General features: G+C 38.8%; 1 protein-coding gene across 8 annotated transcripts in view, besides 3 other annotated features; it reads right to left on the bottom strand.

The window, feature by feature from the left end:
* SLF2 (SMC5/6 complex localization factor 2) overlaps nucleotides 1–20,061 on the bottom strand; it is a 52,172-nt gene extending 32,111 nt beyond the window's left edge. For 3 of the 8 annotated variants that reach the window (NM_018121.4, NM_001136123.2, XM_047425463.1), the window contains exons 1-9: nucleotides 19,774–20,061; nucleotides 16,982–17,025; nucleotides 15,724–16,454; nucleotides 14,583–14,640; nucleotides 8,052–9,049; nucleotides 7,005–7,075; nucleotides 3,585–3,707; nucleotides 3,027–3,194; nucleotides 1,946–2,048 (exon numbers count right to left, since the gene is read on the bottom strand). In NM_018121.4, coding sequence (NP_060591.3) covers nucleotides 1,946–2,048; nucleotides 3,027–3,194; nucleotides 3,585–3,707; nucleotides 7,005–7,075; nucleotides 8,052–9,049; nucleotides 14,583–14,640; nucleotides 15,724–16,454; nucleotides 16,982–17,025; nucleotides 19,774–19,913 — 2,436 coding nt within the window. In that variant the 5' untranslated portion in view covers nucleotides 19,914–20,061. Of the gene's footprint in view, nucleotides 1–1,945; nucleotides 2,049–3,026; nucleotides 3,195–3,584; nucleotides 3,708–7,004; nucleotides 7,076–8,051; nucleotides 9,050–14,582; nucleotides 14,641–15,723; nucleotides 16,455–16,981; nucleotides 17,026–17,954 lie in introns of those variants that run through there. The other 5 variants (XM_047425461.1, XM_047425462.1, XM_011539944.4 and 2 more) reach the window with 5 other exon arrangements.
* Nucleotides 19,912–19,961: an enhancer, noted in NCBI's record as "active region_3901". NCBI's record gives its function as "activates an Ori minimal core promoter by ATAC-STARR-seq in GM12878 lymphoblastoid cells {active_cell/tissue: GM12878}" and the evidence as "EXISTENCE:reporter gene assay evidence [ECO:0000049][PMID:35858748]".
* Nucleotides 19,982–20,051: an enhancer, noted in NCBI's record as "active region_3900". NCBI's record gives its function as "activates an Ori minimal core promoter by ATAC-STARR-seq in GM12878 lymphoblastoid cells {active_cell/tissue: GM12878}" and the evidence as "EXISTENCE:reporter gene assay evidence [ECO:0000049][PMID:35858748]".
* Nucleotides 20,272–20,541: a silencer, noted in NCBI's record as "silent region_2710". NCBI's record gives its function as "represses an Ori minimal core promoter by ATAC-STARR-seq in GM12878 lymphoblastoid cells {active_cell/tissue: GM12878}" and the evidence as "EXISTENCE:reporter gene assay evidence [ECO:0000049][PMID:35858748]".

The raw sequence follows: 20,576 nt of genomic DNA, 5'->3' as shown, positions 1-20,576 counted from the left end.
TAGGTTTCTTCAGATGGGCAAGAGTCTCACTGAAAACTGCTGGTAAGACAGACCTTATCTGGAGCATGTGTCCACGTATCTTTAGTGGAGGCAGTGAGGGAACACTTTAGGAGTGACATTGACAAGCTACTCCTTTACTTGGATCTTACCTTAACCGCAAGACCTTCAACTACTTTACACTTTAAAAAAGCAAACTTTCTCTCTCACCCCGGTACTCTCTGTATCTACCTTACCCTACGTTTTCTTCATAGCACTTATCATCTGACACAATACATTTACAAATGTGCGCGCGCGCGCGCGCGCACACACACACACACACACACACACACACTTATTGTTTGTCTCCTCTACATTAGCATGTGGGCTTCATGAGATCAGAGACACTGATTTTTTCATTGCTGTTCTCTCCAGTGCCTGGCACAGCTGGCACTCAAAATGCCAACTATATAAAACAATGAACGAAAGTCTGTACTGGAATATCTCTCCAGTTCTCACCAAATACGAGATTTCTTGAAATGCTATCATAAAACCCAGAGTAGAAACTCCATGTTTTTCCCACTTTTCACTTTATATATAATAGCTGTAGTTCTCTGACACCATTGATACTTTTTTCCTTTTTGTTATAGGATTTCTGGGGCCAATACTCACATATTATAAAGGACTCTTTTATACTACGATTCCTTTTTCCTGAATGTATATTTTTCACACATTTAGGATTTTATTAAAGTGGAACACTCAGTAACCTGAGAATAATTTTTTTTTTTTTAAACAGATGTGGTCTTGCTATGTTGCCCAGGCTGATCTCAAACTCCTGGTCTCAAGTAATCCTCCTGCCTTGGTATCCCAAAGTGCTAGAATTACAGGCATGAGCCACTGCGAAGAATAACTTGTCATTCATAATCGTTCTCGTCTTTGAAAGAAGCATAATTCCAATCTAACTGAGTAGTTACTATAGTACTTGTTGATACAGAAGCTTTTATACTGGAAAAAGCCCCATCCATGCCCTCCCATATAAATGTCTTTTTTTTTTTTGAGACAGAGTCTCACTCTGTCCCCCAGGCTGCAGTACAATGGAGCAATCTTGGCTCACTGTAAACTCCACCTCCTGGGTTCAAGCAATTCTCCAGCCTCAGCCTCCTGAGTAGCTGGGATTACAAGTGCCCACCACCACACCTGGCTAATTTTTGTATTTTTAGTAGAGACAGGGTTTCACCATGTTGGCTAGGCTGATCTCCAGCTCCTGACCTCATGATCCACCTGCCTCGGCCTCCCAAAGTGCTGGGATTGCAGGCATGAGCCACCACTCCTGGCTGATACAAATGTCAAGAGTAAGAAACTTCTACATTTATCTGCATGAAGGTCCGAAGTATCTAGAGTAACACCAGAACTCCATACATAAGCATCAATGATACCACTGATATTTAAAAAGTTACCAATTGAGTTAACTTTCTGGAATTATCATATCTTAAATTTAAGATAATTATTTAAGTGGATTTAAGCGTTAAATATGAATGGGGAAAAGAAACACTTGGTTGGATTTGCATCCAAAAAAAAAACCATATATACGAATGGGGAAATATTAGCATACAATTAAAATTCTGAAAATGTATATAGGTACCACCATAAACATGAAAAAAGGTTAAAAAGAAATTTAGGTATGTAAGCATTAGAAGATCCCTTCTAAAACTAACTATAATAGTGATTTATCACTGTGGTGAAGGGTTCAGGCACAACTAACACTGACTGTCCTGTACAACTATCTACATTATCCCTTTCTTCATAATCTCTTTATATTGACTCTTTTTGCTACATTCTAAGCCACTGACATCATGGATGTGCTACATTAATTTTTTCTGCAGTAATGTGCAAATAAAATTATGTTTAAAAGCTTTTGACTTAGAAATATAGTAGGAGGCAACTATAACCCTCTAAACATTCCTCTTACCCGAAACAGCCACTTTAACACAGGGACAGGACACTGGACATAGTGATAAGCAGACGTAAGGAAACCTTGTGTTGTCAAAAAAATCTGATCTGTTTTTCCCGATCTGAAAAAATAAAGTAAAATCAACATGGCTATTAACTTCATGGCAAAATACTTCTACTATCACCACCAACACATCTGACATAATCAGAGAAATGAGCAAGCAAACTGTCTTCAGTCCATAGAGGTGGACTCTATACCAATATGGATGAGTTACTCATAAAATAAATTTAATTGATGGCCTAAAGCTGATCCAATCTGTTGGCTAGGCTCCACATTTAACTGGCAGACAAAGCTACATTTGCTGGTAGTGTTGAGAAAGAGCCTATCAAGTCTCAGACTGGGGAAGTACTTTAAAAAATTGGCAGCAGAACTGATGTGATCTCTCTAGAGCTGAGATATCATGCACTGAGAGAAATTAGATCAGTTTGGGCACTGTGGTGGAGATTACTAGTTGCACATCCCAGCATCTATTTTTGCCTTTCTTCTTGGTAACTGAACCCTGATCTGTAGCTGCAAACACTGGCTGCCTGAAATAAACATCACTCTCTGGCTTCCCTTGTGGCCAAGTGTGGTCATATTGACTAAGTTTTCTATTCAACTAACTTAGTGTGTGGGAATGCTGTGTGGAATTTCTGGGAATTTGAACTAAAGGCTGGAGCTAGAACAGCACCCGAAGCTAGGTGCTAAGAATGGTGGAGAAGAAAGATTATATGGTAAAACTGGCACTCCAGCCCTGGACTTCCTGCTTTTATACTTCTTTCAAATATACTTCTTGTTTAAACCACTATTATTTTGACAATCACTGTTATTATACACTGATCTTAATCATAATTAATAAAGGCATGAGATGTGTCAAACAACTATCCTACACTGCTTCCTATAATTAAAGAAGAAAACATAAAGATCAATAGTAATAAGAGGATTAGGAAACTTAATAGGTCATAATAGAAATTAACCTTTTAGAAGATTACGTGAGTCAGAAGTGTTTTAGAGTAATTTTTTATACATATAAAAGTAAAATGTCTATTTTTCTACTTACTTAAGAATAAGTTTTTCTACAGCACTTTGTCCAATAAAACCAGAGTCTCTTAAATCCAAGGTATACTGATTGAAAATTTTTCCAGAATTGAGGAAATTAAATATTTCTTCACCTGGATGATGATCAGGAATAGCATCAATTGTAACTGAAAATTTCTTTAGAAATTCCCTGAAACATAAAAAAAGTCAATCAATACCAAATTGTTACACTACATATAGTTTTGTATTTAAAAGCTGGGTGCAAAGAAAACCATTTTTTAAGCCAATGTTAATCCCAAATTAGAAGACTAGCATGAGAAAAGTATGCTTTGCTTCTTCCACTTTTTGTAGTTGTTAGTCAAAAGCCACTAAATGTGTCTATGTGAAAAGAAACAATAACCAGGAGAAAAGATAAAAGATGAAACCTGGCCCTAACATTTGCCTTTCAAACCCATTACAGACAGAAACCTATCATAAATTATTCACTAACAGCCATCAATGGCCCATTTATTTTACAAAAACAAAACTAAAAAATGTAAAAACTTTAATAAGGTAAAATACATTATGAAAAATGCTATACTTGTGCTCTTCTAAGAGGCCATCCTCATCATCTGTACTGTCTTCTTCTCCAATTCTGATTGGGGATTTAATGCCTCGGCCTTGCCTTATGTCTTCTTGTAGTTGCTTCTGCAGTTCATCTAGCCTGAGAATTGGAAAGAATGTTATAACAGTTTACTCTAAAAATATTTTTAAAAAGTCTTTAGTTTATATCTAAAAGCAGCACAAAGAAAACCCTTATTAAGTACCCTGGTATATAACAAATTTTGTTATACTATCGGTCAAATTATGTCTCCCAAATACATCACGACGTACAATTTTCATGAAAACAGATATATTTCAGGTGCTAGGCTTTTACCCAGTTACCAGTGTGGCATTAGAATAGTGTTCCACTGCATAAAAGACTTGAGGATTTCCATAAAGCTAGAACTTCAAGAATGATCTGTCCAAACCACTCACAGAATGGGAAAGGAAAAATGGCAAAGAATAAACATCACTAATTTGATTATCCTCTCTACTCTTTAAAGTTCACTGGGTTCTAGATGCCCAACAACCTGATAAGTTAACTAGGCTTTCTAGCAGCAGTAGTTGTCACTGTCATCATCATCACAACACCTAACATTTACCGAGCACTTAATATGTGACAGGCACTGCACTAAGGGCTTTATATATTAACTCTTTTAACCCTTACAACAACTCCATGTAGTAGTTTATAACGCATTTTATAGATAAGAAAACCAACATTAGAAAAGCAAAGTAACTTGCAAGAGCTTGTAATGCAAGGATGTGGGATTCATAGCGAGAGAGTCTAGCTCTAGAGTCCTTGCTTATACTGCCTCTCCAAGATTAAGTTATTTTAAACAAGGTCCTTACCCCAGCCACAAACAGTGGATAAGTACAGCTGAGGAGTAAATAACTAGTAAATGTACTGTTCTATCATTATAGAAAAGGGTCAATCATTCAATTAAACTAGTACTACTGTCTTTCATTTGTGAAGTGCTCAATTTTAAAGGAGGAACTTCAGATTTCATATCACAGATCACAAGAATTCATGAAATATTTAAAGAATTTTAAATACAGACAAGTTCTCTAATTAAATTCAGAAAGGGGGAAGCTTTTGAACTACTAATCATCTGAAAAATTCCTAAAGTTAGCTACTTGGTTATCAAGTTTGAGATATGTAGCACATACCAACTTCCATGTAATCAAGTCAGCTGAGCTGTTAGTGAAGTTCTCCAGGCTAGGTTCAAGGACACTCCTTGAATTAACAAGGAATATATTTTTCCCCTCTTATTAGCAAAACCTGTCCATAATTAGTCACATAAATTTCATTAAGATCATTATGATCCTCAACTTTTCTCTCTCTCTCTCTCTCTCTCTCTGTCTCTCTCTCGTGTGTGTGTGTGTGTGTGTGTGGGGGGGGGGGGGGGTGTTCATCATAATTCTAAACTTTTTCCTCAAAAGAGTAACTTGATAGAAATATTTCAGAAAATTCTACCTGTGTGAACCGCCCCACCCACCAAACAAGCCAATTAAAAACAGGCAAAGAATCTGAAAAGACATTTCTCCATTTGTATAACAAATGGCCAATAAGCACATGAAAATATGTTAACATCATTAGTCATTAGGGAAGGCAAACCAAACAATAAGGAGATACCACTTTACTGTTAGGATGGCTATTATCAAAACAAACAAAAAACAAAGATAAAATAATGTGTTGGCAAAGATGTGGAGAAACTGGAACCCTTATTAATTGTTGGTGCAAATGTGCAATGGTGCAGCCATTGTGGAAAACAGTGTGGCGGTTCCTCAAAAAATTAAACGGAATTACCATATAATCCAGTAAGTCCACTTACGTGTATATGCCCAACAGAATCTAAAGGAGAGACTTGAAGAGATATTTGTATACCCATGTTCATAGCAGCATTATTCACAGTAGCCAAAAAGTGGAAGCAATCCAAAGGTCCACTGACAGATGACTAAAGAAAATGTGTTATATACATAATACAATGGAATAATCAGCTTTATAAAGAACGGAAATTCTGACACATGCTACTATATGAATGAACTCTGAAGACACTGCCCTGAATGAAATAAACAGTCGTAAAAGGACAAATATAATACCACTTACATGAGATAACTAAAACACAGTCAATTTCATAGAGACAAAGTAGAAGGGTAGTTGCTGAGGGTGGGAGGAAGAGGAAAATGGGGAGTTATTGTTTAAAGGGTATGGAGTTTCAGTTTGGAAAGATGAAAAAGTTCTGTAGCTAGATGGTGATAATGGTTGCACAACATATAAATTTACTTAATGCCACTGAACTGTACATGTAAAAATGGTTAAAATGGTAAATTTTATATGTATTTTCCATTAAAAAAACACAAAAAATTCTACCCATGCTTTCGATCTAGAATTTCAGCTATCAGATACTAGTTGTAATAAACAGAAAGGAATTTATATTATTAGTTAGTGCAGTATACTATAAAAACCTGGATCTTTTGATCCAGTCTATGAACAAGAGAACCCATCTTATTCCCTTTTTTTTTTTTTTGAGATGGAGTCTTGCTCTGTTGCCCAGGCTAGAGTGCAGTGGCGCAATCTCGGCTCACTGCCACCTCCGACTTCCGGGTTCACGCCATTCTCCTGCCTCAGCCTCCCCAGGAGCTGGGACTACAAGCGCCCGCCACGACACCCAGCTAATTTTTTTTTTTATTTTTTAGTAGAGATGGGGTTTCACCATGTTAGCCAGCATGGTCTCGATCTCCTGACCTCATGATCCACCTGCCTCGGCCTCCCAAAGTGCTGGGATTACAGGCGTGAGCCACTGCGCCTGGCCCCCCACTTTTTTTTTTTTTGAGACGGGGTCTTATTCTGTCACCCAGATTGGAGTGCAGTGGCTCAATCACAGCTCACTACAGCCTTGACCTCCTTGGGCTCAGGTGATCCTCCCAACCTCAGCCTGTTGAGTAGCTGGGACCATAGGTATGTGGCACCATGACTGGCTAATTTTTGTATTTTTTGTAGAGATGGGGTTTCACCATGTTGCCCAGGCTAGTCTCAAACTCCTGGGCTCAAGAGATTTGCCTGCTTTGGCCTCCTAAAGTACTGGATTACAGGCATGAGCCATCACACCTGGCCTCTTTTTTTCATTTGAGACTGGGTCTCACTCTGCCACCCAGGCTGCAGTGAAGTGGCGCCATCACGACTCACCGCAGCCTTGAACTCCTGGGCTCAAGTAATCTTGCCTGGGTCTCCCAAAGTGTTGTGATTACAGGCATGAGCCACTGCGTCCGGCCAACATATCTTATTCTAACACAGTTGACAACAGAGTCCAAAATGCACGCTAATTTCTCATGATTTTTTAAAAAAGGTAAATTAAAAGTAAGCCACACAAACAAGCAAAATGTTAAATTTAGCAAATTAATCTTTATGCTAACAAACCTTTGTGTGTCTTCCATTTCCTTCACTAGACGTTCTAAGGTATTTGTGTAAGTTCCAGGATGAACATGTCCCTAAAACAAGAACATTTAGAAATACTTTACCACATGTCTTAGTAGAAGAACTGGGATGTTTTAAGTAATTAAGGGTACGAAAGACTATTTTCTATTTCAATAATCTGGGCCAGGATAACACCTTTCTTAAAGGATAATTTTCACCATCATGCTTTAAATCTAGTATTTTGCACTGCAGACAATTTGATTTTACTACCTATTAGGAAAGGCAGTACTTATAAAACCCTGCTAACTTTGAGATGTGACTGCAAACACTCAAGGACTCTGTGGCTACCCTGTCTTTACTTTTAAATTCTATTTTAGTAGAATCAAACTACTAATTTTTAGGTGTTACCATGGAATATTAACACCTTCCCCACCAAATTTTACAGACATCTTAGAATTTAATTCAGCTTATTCCCAAGATAGAATGAAGCACTTTATAAATAAAATTGCACACCACAATCAACAACATTTCTACACTCTACCTTCATTTACAGATGTGGTCTCCAAAGCAGGGGGTGTGCAAGGTGATCCATTGGGGTGCAGGAAGAAAATAATAGAACTTCTATTTATATGGAACTTCTATAGAGACTCCAGTAGAACTTAGTCTATAGTAACTTCTACGTCACTTCTACAGGAAAATACTTATTTTTCTCTTCTTCTTCCTTTTAAATTCTGTTTTTGCATATGCTTTAGAAAGTACACAGTATTACAGTGGTACATATATATAATCTAAAGGTATACATATATGTTGGGGTACATGCTCAAAAATTGTTAAGTGTGTGTGATCAAAAGAGTTTGGAGACCACTGACTTACAGTAATAAAACTAAAGATATGGAAACTCATTTACCAAACAAGAATTATTCCATTTTCAGTACAAATATGAGTTATAATAAATACTAAATTTTAAAGTAAGTTCCGATAATCCACCCCTTTCACTAATTAATCATCTTTCCCTCTTCAAGTAAAGATAAACGTCACAGAACTACTTACTGTATAGTCTGATGACTGAGATCTAAGCCCCTTGGAAAGAGCAGGAGGCTTTCCTGTAGCTGCAGGAGTCTGATTGAAGTTCAAAGCCATTATTTCTTCCAGTGACTTTAATGTTTCCTCTTCCTCATCACTGTCTAGGTTGTAACCTAAACTTTCTTCATCACTATCAAAATCACCCCTTAGTTTTCTTTTCAGTGCACTGCTACCTGCATTGGAATTTCCTGAACTCTCTCCTTCTGAAGGGGCTTTATCTGAAGGTGCTGCAGGGCTTGGGATACATGGCACAACTTCCAAAGCAGCAGGGGGAGACTTTGTAGGAGTGCCATATTCTGAGCGCAAAGGTCCCCCAGAAATTTTCCCTGAAGATACATTAGAATCGGCCTTATTAGTCTTTGCTTTGTGTTCCTTGTGTTTGGTGGATTCTGTAGAATGCCCAGAACATTCTTTAGATGAGGAACGCTCTTTATCTTTTTTAGAAACTGGAAGAGCACAATTTTTAGCATTTAATGGTACTAGAGAGGAACCAGCACTTGGAACACGGGAAAGTAAAGGTAGTTTTGTCTCCTTCTCCTTTGTCGTGGAGCTAGCGGTTTTATTTTTCTGAAGGTTGCTAGCTTTTTTAATTGCAGACTTTTCCTGAGATAAAGGTAAGTGGGGTTTCTGCATCTTAGTCTCCTTGGTACCTGCCACTTGGATTTGGTCACTATTCCTGGTAGAATGGTGGCCAGAATTGCCAGAATTTGAAGGTGCCAAGCCTGCAGAAGAGCCATCAGTTTCATCACTCGGTTCCTTGGATATATCTTCTAAGCGCAACACATCACCAGGTGTCTTCAGTGCAATATGTTTTATAAATTTTTCTTTCTGATGTGGTCCATCAGGACGCTTCTCAAGGAAGGACTCTCTTGCTTTTGGTATCATAGATTCTCTTGTGCTTTTCAGATCTGAGTCCACAGAGTTCCTTTTTCTTTTTTCAGGGAATTTATTCTGCTTAGAGCCTGCTAAAATTTAATTTTTGTTAGATTAGTGAAAAATATACTTTCCAACTTTAGTAAAGTTTATTCAGTGTCTAGAACACCCTAATGAAAGGTTTAAAATTCTAAGTATTAAGGCTGAGATTAGTCACCATATATGGAATGCAGAAAAAGAGTTACTTATCAACTGGATAAATACTGGTGTCCAAGAAATTTAAAGCTAATGACAAATGCTCATTTTCATTCCAAAGCTATGAAAAGTTTACCACCTTAACAGAATTAAAGATGCCACTCCCTAAAACAAACAACTGCATATTTGTACCAAGTTAAGGATGCCATAGGTACTTCTGGAAATTCTTTTAGACCTAGGACTACCTGGTTGCAGAAATGTAACACTTCTACATTTAAATGTATAGTACCTTAAAACACGTATAGGATAAACACTTGAAGGCAGATAAATGTTAATTTCTCATTAAAAAAAAAAAAATCACGCTGTGTCCCAATGCAGTATGACTGGTGTACTTACAAAAGGTGTCTTTGTCTTTGGAGACAAAGACAGACATGCACAGAGGGAATACAAGGTGAAAATACACAAGGAAAAGATGCTATGTGACTGGAGTGATGCAGCTGTAAGTCAAGAAATGCCAAAGATTGCAGGCAAACACCAGAAGCTAGACGAGGTAAGGAAGTATTCTCCCCTAGAGTTGCCAGAGACATTACGGCCCTATTGATATCCTGATTTCAAACTTCTAGCTTCCAGAACTGTGAAACAATAATTCCTGTTGTTTTAAGCCACCCTGGTTTTGGCACTTTGTTATGGCAGCCCTAGGAAACTAATATAAGCTATATTTATTATAGCCCCATCCAGAAGTACTTTAATAACCACATACATTTGAATGAACCAGTTTTTAAAAATTCATATTGTGGGCTGAGTGCGGTGGGTCACACCTGTAATCCCAGCATTTTGGGAGGCCGGAGTGGGCAGATCACTTGAGGTCAGGAGTTTGAGACCAGCCTGGCCAACATGGTGAAACCCTGTCTCTACTGAAAATACAAAAATTAGCCAGGCATGGTGGTGCGTGCCTGTACTCCCAGCTACTTGGGAGGCCAAGACAGGAGAATCGCTTGAACCTGGGAGGTGGTGGTTGCACTGAGCCAAGACGGCACCACTGCACGCCAGTCTGGGCAACAGAGCAAGACTCCGTTTCAAAAAAAAAAAAAAAAATTCACTTTAACCTGGTGCAGTGGTGTGTGCCTATATAGTCCCAGCTACTCAGGAGGCTGAGGTGGGAAGATAACTTGAGCCCAGGAGTTCAAGACCAGCCTAGGTACCAAAGCAAGACTTCAACTCAAAAAAACAAAACAACAACAAAAAAAAACACAAAAAATTCACTATTTGTGCAATCAGTATTCCCCAAACCAGATTTCCCTAAATCAAATTTTCTGCACATGGACAGATGTCTCCATTCCCCAAGAGTTGCTTTAAAAACCTAAAATGGCTGGGCACAGTGGCTCATGCCTGTAATACCACAACTTTGGGAGGCCAAGGTGGGAGTTCGTGAGCTCAGGTGAAACCCTGCCTCTGCGAAAAGTACAACCCCGTCAATCCCTTCTCTAGTTAGAAAATTTCTTATCTTTTGGCCATGTCTAGTGGCTCATGCCTGTAATCCCAGCACTTTGGGAGGATCACTTGGGCTCAGGAGTTTGAGACCAGCCTAGGCAACATGGTGAAATAGTCTCTACAAAAAATACAAAAATTAGCCGGGTGCAGTGGCATGTGCCTGTAGTCCCACCTACTTGGAGGCTCAGGTGGGAGGACTGCTTGAGCCCCGTGAGGCTACAGTGAGCTGTAATTGTGCCATTGCACTCCAGCCTGGGCACCAGAGTAAGACCTTGAATCAAAATGAGTAAATAAAATAAAATAAACCCGCCAAAACCAAACTTGAGAGGCAATTATTATTTGGATAGCTTGATCAATATATAATCTGAAAAATTCAATTTATAAAAATTAAATTAACTAATTAACAAATGCCCTTATCTCTGCTCTTTTACAGATATCTCCCATTACCTGAGGAAATCATTCCATCCTATTCAGTTTTCTGGGGTTAAATGTCTTACAAAAAGGACAGGGGTAACAGGATGAGAAATTAAATGACTAAACAAAAGAGAAGATTTGGCTCATTATCTTACTTTTAAGTATGGGATTACAAAAAATGAGCTACAGAGCTGCCAGTTTGAGTTTTGTTCCATTTTTCTAGAGAAGTCAGATAATTTAAATATAGCTAGAAATGAGGAGAAATTCCTGCTTTGCTCAGGCATTATTCAGGGTTGATCCAGGAGGAGACAAACACTGTTTGTGGAAGATGTTTAGGATAAGTCAGCTTATTAAGGGGTTTCATCATCTAGAATTAGAGAAAAGTGAATTGGTACTGCAGGTAGGATCCCCTTTAGCAAGCTCTTCAGGTCAGGTGATTAATTGCAAAATGTTCATAATTCTTTTTGTATCCTTTGTCAGCCTGTAGAGAATATTTGTTTTACAGTTTTTCAAATATTTCAAATATACTAATACATAAAATATTCATATAAGAGAGAGATTGAGTTTGTAAAAAGAAAAAAAGGAGGCTGGGCATGGTGGCTCACGCCCGTAATCCCAGCACTTTGGGAGGCTGAGGCAGGAGGATTGCTTCAGCCCAGGAGTTCAGTGCTGCAAGTGAGCTACAATCTCACCACTGCACTCCAGCCTAGGAGACAGTGAGACTCCATCTCAAGAAAAAGGAAAAATCCAAAGGCCATTAATAGGTGATTGGTTATTAATCAGTTACGAAATGTACTAGCAATGGATTAAATTTCCCCTCACAATTCAGCCAAAAGACAGGGCTCTAGAAGACCAAAGGGCTAAATGCCTAGTCTAACATTACTTCTGAAATCCCTGAACTTGTATGTGATTAATGATTGCGTGATTATGTACATTACCATGACAATTGATTAAGTGTATTAACAAGATGAACAAGACATATCATTTGGATTTTTATTTTTATTTATTTATTTTTTTCGAGATTGAGTCCTGCTCTGACACCCAGGCTGGAGTGCAGTGGCACCATCTCAGCTCACTGCAACCTCCACCTTCCAGGTTCAAGCAATTTTCCTGCCTTGGCCTCCTGAGTAGCTGGGATTACAGGCTTGGGCACCATGCCCAGCTAATTTTTGTAATTTTAGTAGAGACGAGGTCTCACCATGTTGGCCAGGCTGGTCTCGAACTCCTGACCTCAGGTGATCCATCTGCCTTGGCCTCCCAAAGTGCTGGGATTACAGGCATGAACCACTGCGCCTGGCTTAGATTTTTAATAATTTTGCTATCAGACACAATAAGCATTCTTCATGCTATCTAGATTGAAATATCCCCTTGTCCTTTACATGTTGAAATTCTGTTGATGTTAGTCAATTGAAGTATAAATGTATATTTATTAAGAGTATAATGCTATAATTATTAGTGATTATGAAACACATGCAAAAATATTGGTAATAAAAATATAAGTGACGGCAACCATCATAAGTCAGCCTCTGAAAATATGTAGAAAGCATCTTTTCCAAGCAGTACTCAAAAACTTTGCTAGGTGGGATTATATAAATGAAACTACTTTAGCCACCATGAATGAAATTTGCAAATCCAGGAAATGAAAAGATTTTTTCAAATCTTAAGTCAGAGAAAAAAGAAAAGGAATAATGTGGTAGCCACACCACCAGCAGCAGCCCCTTATATAAAATAATATTTTGTTCTTCCATTAACTTTGGTGCAAGGTGATCATGTATTTAGTATTAAAAATGTGCAATACAGTGAGTGCAGAAGCAATCTCCTGGCTGAGAAATTCCTGTTCTTCTACAATAATGTCAAAATTCACTAAAATTTGGTCATAAAATCAGCAACATTATAAAAATTAAATAAACAAAAAACACACAAAACTTTAGATTTATTCCTGTATCCTAGAAGTTCCTTCTATAATGGTAAAATATGGTTTCAGCCTTGGCTGAAGATTGATTTTACCAGTTGAGAGTTCTTGGTCAAAATGCAATGCACCTCTAAAATATAAATAAAATGAAGTAGATGAAACCTGAAGGAGGAATTAGAACTGACTCTCTGTACTTTGGCTTTTCCATCTCTAAAAGTAAACCACTATCATATAAAGTTATGAGGTTCAAACGAATTAGAAGCACATAAAATGGCATAGCACACAGTAAGTACTCAATGAAAGCCAGCTATTATTATCGTGTCCAATGTATCTTACTGAATGTGGGAATTTGTTTTTCAAAATGTATAGTCACATCAGGAAAAAAATCGGATACACTAGACTATTAACTGTTGTTAGTTGTGGAGACCTTTCATTTCTTGTTGCAAACTTCTGCAGTGTTTGCCTTTTTAATCTTCTATTTTCTAGTTTTAAAAAAAGATAAAATGTACTGAATTAACAGATTTGTTATTTTATATTTTTTTCAATCAATAAATGCTAAAAGTACAAACTAATGTCATGTAGATATCCTTGAAATTTAATATTAAAAAGGGATCCTTGGATTTGAAATATTAGAGAACACTGCTTTTTATCATGGTAACAGTCTCAACCCTATACAAAGCATCTTCAACATAATACCAACAACTCAGTCTACAATTCCAAGATAATAAGATTATGTTTCCTGGGGGCCCGGTGCAGTGGCTCATGCCTGTAATCCCAGCACTTTGGGAGGCCGAGGTGGGCAGATCACGAGGTCAGGAGATCGAGACCATCCTGGCTAACGTGGTGAAACCCCGTCTCCACTAAAAATACAAAAAATTAGTCGGGCATGGTGGTGGGCGCCTGTAGTCCCAGATATTTGGGAGGCTGAGGCAGGAGAATGGTGTGAACCCGGGAGGCGGAGCTTGCAATGAGCCAAATTACACCACTGCACTCCAGCCTGGGCGACAGAGCGAGACTCTGTCTCAAAAAAAAAAAAAAAAAAAAAAAAAAAAAGATTATGTTTCCTGATGTAGCCAAGGATTCAGAAGGAAACACTGAATACCAGTATGAGAAACATACTGTTAGGAACTCCTGAAGAGGGCAGAGATTCAAGACAGATTACAAATTATATGCACTAGGTCAGGTGTGGTGGCTCATGAGCTCAGGAGTTTGAGACCAGCCTGGGCAACGTGGCGAAACCTCGTCTCTACAAAAATACAAGAAATTAACCAGGCATAGTTGCCCACATCTGTAGTCCCAGCTACTCAGGAAGCTGAGGTGGGAGAATCATTCGAGGCCAGGAGGTCAAGGCTTGCAGTTGAGTCGTGATCATGCCACTGCATCCCAGCCTGGGTGACAGAGTAAGACCCTGTCTCAAAAACAAACCCAAATTATAAGTACTAGATTCAGGGACTAGTCTTTTTTAATATGATCTTACCAAACTCTTAATTAATATGAGACACTTAATTCATCCCCAAGAAGGGAACTGCATATTTAAACAAATTTATTTTAAAAAGCAGTGCCATTAAAATGGAAATTTATTTAGAAATCCATAAATTTAATTTTGATTCTACCTGAAGTAGGTTCCCATGAATCAGAAGAGGATCTTTTTCTTGAGAGATGTCCATTTTCCTATGAGCACAATGAGATAAAATTAATTAAGTGTTGGGGACAGTAAAGAATGTGAAGGCATTCTTCCTAACATTTAAACACAGATTTCTAGATTGAATAAGGCAAGCACCCATATTTGGAGGTAAATCCTAATGTCTATAATAAAATATTTAAAGATCTTAAGGTTTTTGTCATAAAAATTAAGGGCATTTGTATCATAAACATGTAAAAATATCATAAAAATGAAGTCAGTTTTCAAAATGCTGATTTACGTTTATATCAATAATTCAAGAATATTATATTAGAACACTGTATTTTTGAGACAAGGTCTCGCTCTGTCACCCAGGCTGGAGTGCAATGGTGTGATCAAACTCACTGCAACCTTGATCTCCTGGGCTCAAGCGAGCCTCCCACCTTAGCCTCCTAAGTAGCTAGGAGAACAGGCACATGCCACCATGACTGGTTATTTATTTATTTATTTATTTGTAGTAGAGCCAAGGTCTCGATATGTGGCTCTGGCTGGTCTCAAACTCCTGAGCTCAAGCAATCCTTCCACCTAGGCCTCCCAAAGTACAGGAAGCAGGAGGATCGCTTGAGGCCAGGGGTTCAAGGCCAGCCTGGGCAGTATAGGGAGACCTGTCTCTACAAAAAAATACAAAAATTAGTCAAATATGGTGGCAGGTACCTGGAGTCTCGACTACTTGGGAAGCTGAGGTGAGAGCATCATTTGAGCCCAGGAGTTTGAGACTGCAATGAGACATGATCACGCCATAGCACTCCAGCATGAGCAACAGAGCAAGACTGTCTACACATAAATAAGTAAGACTATACTTGCCTTAAAAAAAAAGAATGCTTACTTTTCTGACTAAAAAAGATCTTTGTTCCCAGTCTGAAAAAACTAAGGATAAGAAACACTGCTTTACTGAGTTCGATGAAGGGCAACTGGAGGAAATGTAATGAAACCAGCTTCTACACAAACTGTGCATAAGTATTTCCTTCAGGAAAGACGTCAATGTGATGTAACAACTCTTAAATATTTTTAAATTTAGTATTCTAAATATGACATAGCAGTAGCAATGCTAATTCAATAATTCTTACACATACCACATTTGACAGATTATTTTTTCCAGGTATGATGTCATTCTGTTTCCTTTGTTCCTGCCTTGGTTTATATTTTCTTTCTATACTAGATTTTAAGGAAAGACTGCTTGCTTCTGAGAAAGAATTCTCGGAGTTGATTCTCTGCTCCATTTGCTCCTTTCTCAACCTCTTTAGTTCTCGTTCTCTGCAGTAAGAAGCTAGTGACAACTGGAATTTAGCTCCCAGTGGGCTTTCTTCCGGGTGGTGCCTGGACAGGCTGCTCCTGCTGCTAAGGCTTCTGGAGCTGTTATTGAAGATGTCAGCTTCTGCCACTGTGGTCTGCTTTTTGGAGTCTGCATTGGTTTTGCCTCGATCTCTATCATTCTTCTCATTATTTTCATGAATGAATAGTGACTTCCTTCTCTCTGGGGATCGATGTTTTTTCTTTAGTGACTTCATCTCCTTTGGCAAGTGATATGAAGAAGGAACATAGATATTTGTTCCTTTGGCTAAATATTTGGAGGCTAGTGACAGACAAGGCCGACGTGACTCATGTATACCATGATCTTCATGGTGCTCTTTAACACCTTTCATGAAAGCTTCTATAATAGGGCTCTTTTCTGGTGGCACCCTTTTGGGTTTAGATTCTTTTGGTGAGGATAGTTTCCTTTCAAACTGCTCTGTCCCAGTGATAGACAATCTACTTCCTCCATATTTGATGTTTGATTTTTGTGGTGAATCCAACATGTGTCTGTCTAAATAGCCAATTAAAACACATACAAATTGCATGTTAGTAAAATATTTAATATTTATCTAAATTATTAATGTTTAAAATATAAATTAAACTATACTAATGTTACCACAAAAATTTTCAAACCAACAACTTGGATAATGATACACACTTTATTGGGGGGTATAGGAGAAATTAAGAGATGATTTATTTGTTAAAAGCCTTAGTTTCATAAAGCTCTCTTTTGGTACATCATATAACCTCCCTATGGCTCTATAAATTACTGTATTAGAGAATCAAAATAGTATGTATTATGAACATTAAATTTTTTACTAGAATAATATTTTAAATGTAAGAAAACATAACAGCAAAAAGACTTTCATATTTAGAACTTCAGTTTATCCTTGTAAAACAAAATACTGCATCTTCATTTTATTTTCAATTTTGAACACTACGTTTACTAAAACAGTTTAGAGTAGGTTTTAAAGTTGAATCTGTCTCTCTCCTCACCCCCAAAATAGCCCACAAAAAATGCATCAACAGTGTACATACCTTGTTTTGAAGCTGGTTTGAAGAAATCTATAATTGACTGCTTCCTGAAAATAAAAGCATAATATGGCATCATATAAGCAAATATTAAAACCTTCATAACTCAGATTAAATGGAGAAAGATTTATAAAATAAAGGCTGGATTTCACTATTTGGTTTAATAAAGTTCTGACAATGGTAACAATGCTTTGCTAAACTGTTCATTAAAAAAACAGAAAATATAACGTATCACTTCCTATAGGAGTTCATTTATAAAAATACAACTGAGGTTTATATTATTTATAGTACTTAAATAGGTCAGACTGGTGTGTAGACCCAAGGAATTAGTACAGAGTGCTTCTTAAGACTGAAATGTTCACGGCTACATGGTAGAATGCAACATCTTGGGTATCAGCATATGAACCTACTTGTTCTCTGCAGACATTGATACAAAATAATTACTTGGTATCTAAGCACAGCTGCGTTTTAAAATTTAGAATAACAAGCTAAAAAAAAACTCAATAGATGTATGCCAAATGAATAATGGGGATTATAAAAATGGAGTAAAACTTGAACAGACTCTCATAACAAGAGTAGAACAGTAGATGGTAGAATGGCAATACAGGTGATTTGGCTGATCTAGGGAATCAGTTGAAGAGGAGTTTGCTGGACAAGGGCAGAAAAGAAAAATACCAAACTTATGCTACCCTCTTTATACATTAAGATGTTAATCTAAGTAACAGCAGAAATTAGAATGAGTTGTCACAACTAGTTTCAAATTCTTAATTTTTTATCAAAGAATCCTTAAGATAGTTACAAAAATAACACATTGCTTGGGAAAAACACAAGGAGAAAAGGAAGAAAGTTAACAAGAATAACAAAAACCAAATTAATTTTTAAGAATTTCTGTACCGTAAAGACTGGATTTCATTATCTGGCTTAACTAATCAAGTTCTGACATTGGCAATAATGCTAAAGTGAAATAGGAATCCATTACCAGAATTCGTATTCTGATTTGTTCACTGTAGAGTTGTCAGCTGCAAAAAAGGGGATGTTATGATATGCTGAACAAAAAATTAACTTTCTGGTAAATTTTGCTAAAATGTATCATTTTACTGAAAGAGAATAAGCTATAGACTATTGATTTCCCTAAACATTCATCCACTATGAGGTTGGAATGCTCAGTGAAAATTCCAACAATCCAAGTTTCTTGAAGGTTAAGCTTCTTGTACACTTTACTGGTCACATTAGAAGAGCAATGCACATCTTTACTGGTTTACCAAGTCCATCACGCTTGTTTGAGATGCTGGTATAAAAGCTAAGTGCTTATGAGATGAATATGAGTGACGGGCTATGGAAGAATATATGCATTTGTTTACATAAATTATACTAGGCAAATTAACTCCACCAGAGTAAATGTTGGAGGTTCTGCAAAGGGAAGAAGGATGATACCTTGTTATTGATCTTGTTATTGATTGAGGAGAGATGGGAAGGGACCCAGAAGCAGCTCATTTGTTGCACACAAGATAATTCTAAATGCATTTTACTAAATGTAACACTGTATCTCTTCCCTAAAATATTGGACCTCAGACTCCTTTTTGATTAATACACCAGAAAGAGAAAAAATGATTTTGGGTAAAACATACAAGAAACCTGTAAAATAACCATGAATGTAACTTTCAAGAGGTAGGTTCTCTAAGTTCATATGCACACAAAATGTCCACTGCTTATTTAACAACTGGCTTAAAAAAAAACACACACACACACACAATTATAACAGTTTCACAAACCCTTATCTGAACCTTCTGGGGCCAAATGTGTTTTAGAATTCTGAATTTATCAGATTTTAGGAAGGGGATAACTTGGATGTATTATGGAAAGTCCCCAGTGGGGTCTGGTGCTGCAACCTGTAATCAAATCCACTGACATTTCTCCAGCAAAACATGAATATTCACACTTAATGGGATAAAGACCACAAACAGCCTTACATTAGTTTTAGTCAGATCTGGCTGCCCAGTAAGATGTGGTGCCAAACTTACTGAAAACGTTTTGGTTTTCATAGCTTTCTGGCTTTCAGAGTTAAGATAAGGGATTGTGGGCCTGTACCACAGTATTAGTAACATGAATATTGTTAAAACTTAATACAATTTAACTTAAAATAAAAGACAGTACCAAGTTCGTAGGGAATTTAAACATGTTTTATTGTCAGAGGATGTCATTAGATGAAACTCCCCATCTCATTACATAGCTCCCACAAAATCTTTACAAAAAAATTAGCCTCTTGGAGAGGCGTGAAGTTACTGAAAGAGAAAACACGTCACATTCCAAATCTGCAAGTTCTTTTAAGTATGAACTAGCGTGCACGCTGGACTACAAAGTAATTCGTGGAAGGGATTCCCTCATCACAGGTTACATAATTTCACCCACAACATAGAAAAGGTTTATATTACTAAACCACTAGGATCAGTAGAACTGACAACGTACAGAAAACGATCTAAATATGCATTAAGCAGTTAGGGTCCCGGGTCAAACTCTTGCAAAGGAAAAAAATCACTTTCTTTCTACCTAAGGCGGGTTCTCCGTAGCTGTCCAGGCTGGTGGTCACTAGACCAAGAGCAGCTGCCCAACTACAGAGAAGCAAACTCCAACTCCCAGTAGCCCCTGCGCGGAGGCGGGGCGGGGATTTGCCAGGCCCCGAAATGCCAACGCCTGAGCTCGCGGAGGATGGCGGGAACTGGAAGAGCGGCGGTCTGCAGCCCTCCCCTCATACCCTTGCCCCCGCGACCCGGCCCCTTCTCAAGCCCTCTGCACGGTACCTGTCCCCAGGACTCTCTGTTCTCTTTCCCGCTGCAGCATGGGCGGTACTACCGGGTCTCAGATGGCAGCGCGGGGGCGACGACCCCGGGGCTGGGGATGAGGGGAAACCTGGCCTAGCGGGCATGCAGCGCCTTGTCATGTCGGCGCCGCTGGCGACGGCGGCATGAGCCGTGGCTGGAGAAGTTGGGTGCGTGGTTGCCGTCTTGCTGCTGGGACTCCGGGAGGCTGTCGGAGCAGAGGTGGGCGGCACCCCCTTCTCTCTTCATGGCGGTTCTCTCTTCGGAAGTGACTCCGGCGTGAGCGGGAAGGAACCTGGGGACCAGTAAGGGGCGGGTCTTACTTCATGAATCACGTCTTGATTGGCTGGCACGGTGGTCATTTCGGTGGTGGCGCAATAGGAAGCCGCAGCCTCTCTGGAGAAGGCGGGGCTTGGGGACGGGGGAGGAAGAAACCTCCCCCTCCCACCCCGTCACATGCACTGAGGGCGCGCGCCTCTGGTCCCGGCCGCCTCGGCCTTGGCCGGCGCGCGGGGGCGGAAAGGCGCGGGCAGCAGCTGGCGGACAGCTGACGACACCCGCCTGGTTGAAGGCGAGGGGTGAGGGTTTGCTGAAGCAAACCGGAGCCCGGCAGCTGCCTTCGTTGAGGATGGCCAACACTTGGGCTTCCTGTGTCACACAATTGTGCCTCAGAAATCCGCAGCTGTTCATTACATCGTCTCTTTAACAGCTTAGGCCAAAGTGCCATAATACTGTCACAATTTGCTGAGGGATCTGCACAGCGCGATCCGAAGACTTGTCCATTC

The sequence above is a fragment of the Homo sapiens genome, chromosome 10 (assembly GCF_000001405.40).
Source record: "Homo sapiens chromosome 10, GRCh38.p14 Primary Assembly".
Classification (NCBI taxonomy): domain Eukaryota; kingdom Metazoa; phylum Chordata; class Mammalia; order Primates; family Hominidae; genus Homo; species Homo sapiens.
The sequence above is the reverse complement of the archived record's forward strand: the minus strand, read 5'-3'. Positions and strand labels throughout refer to the sequence as shown.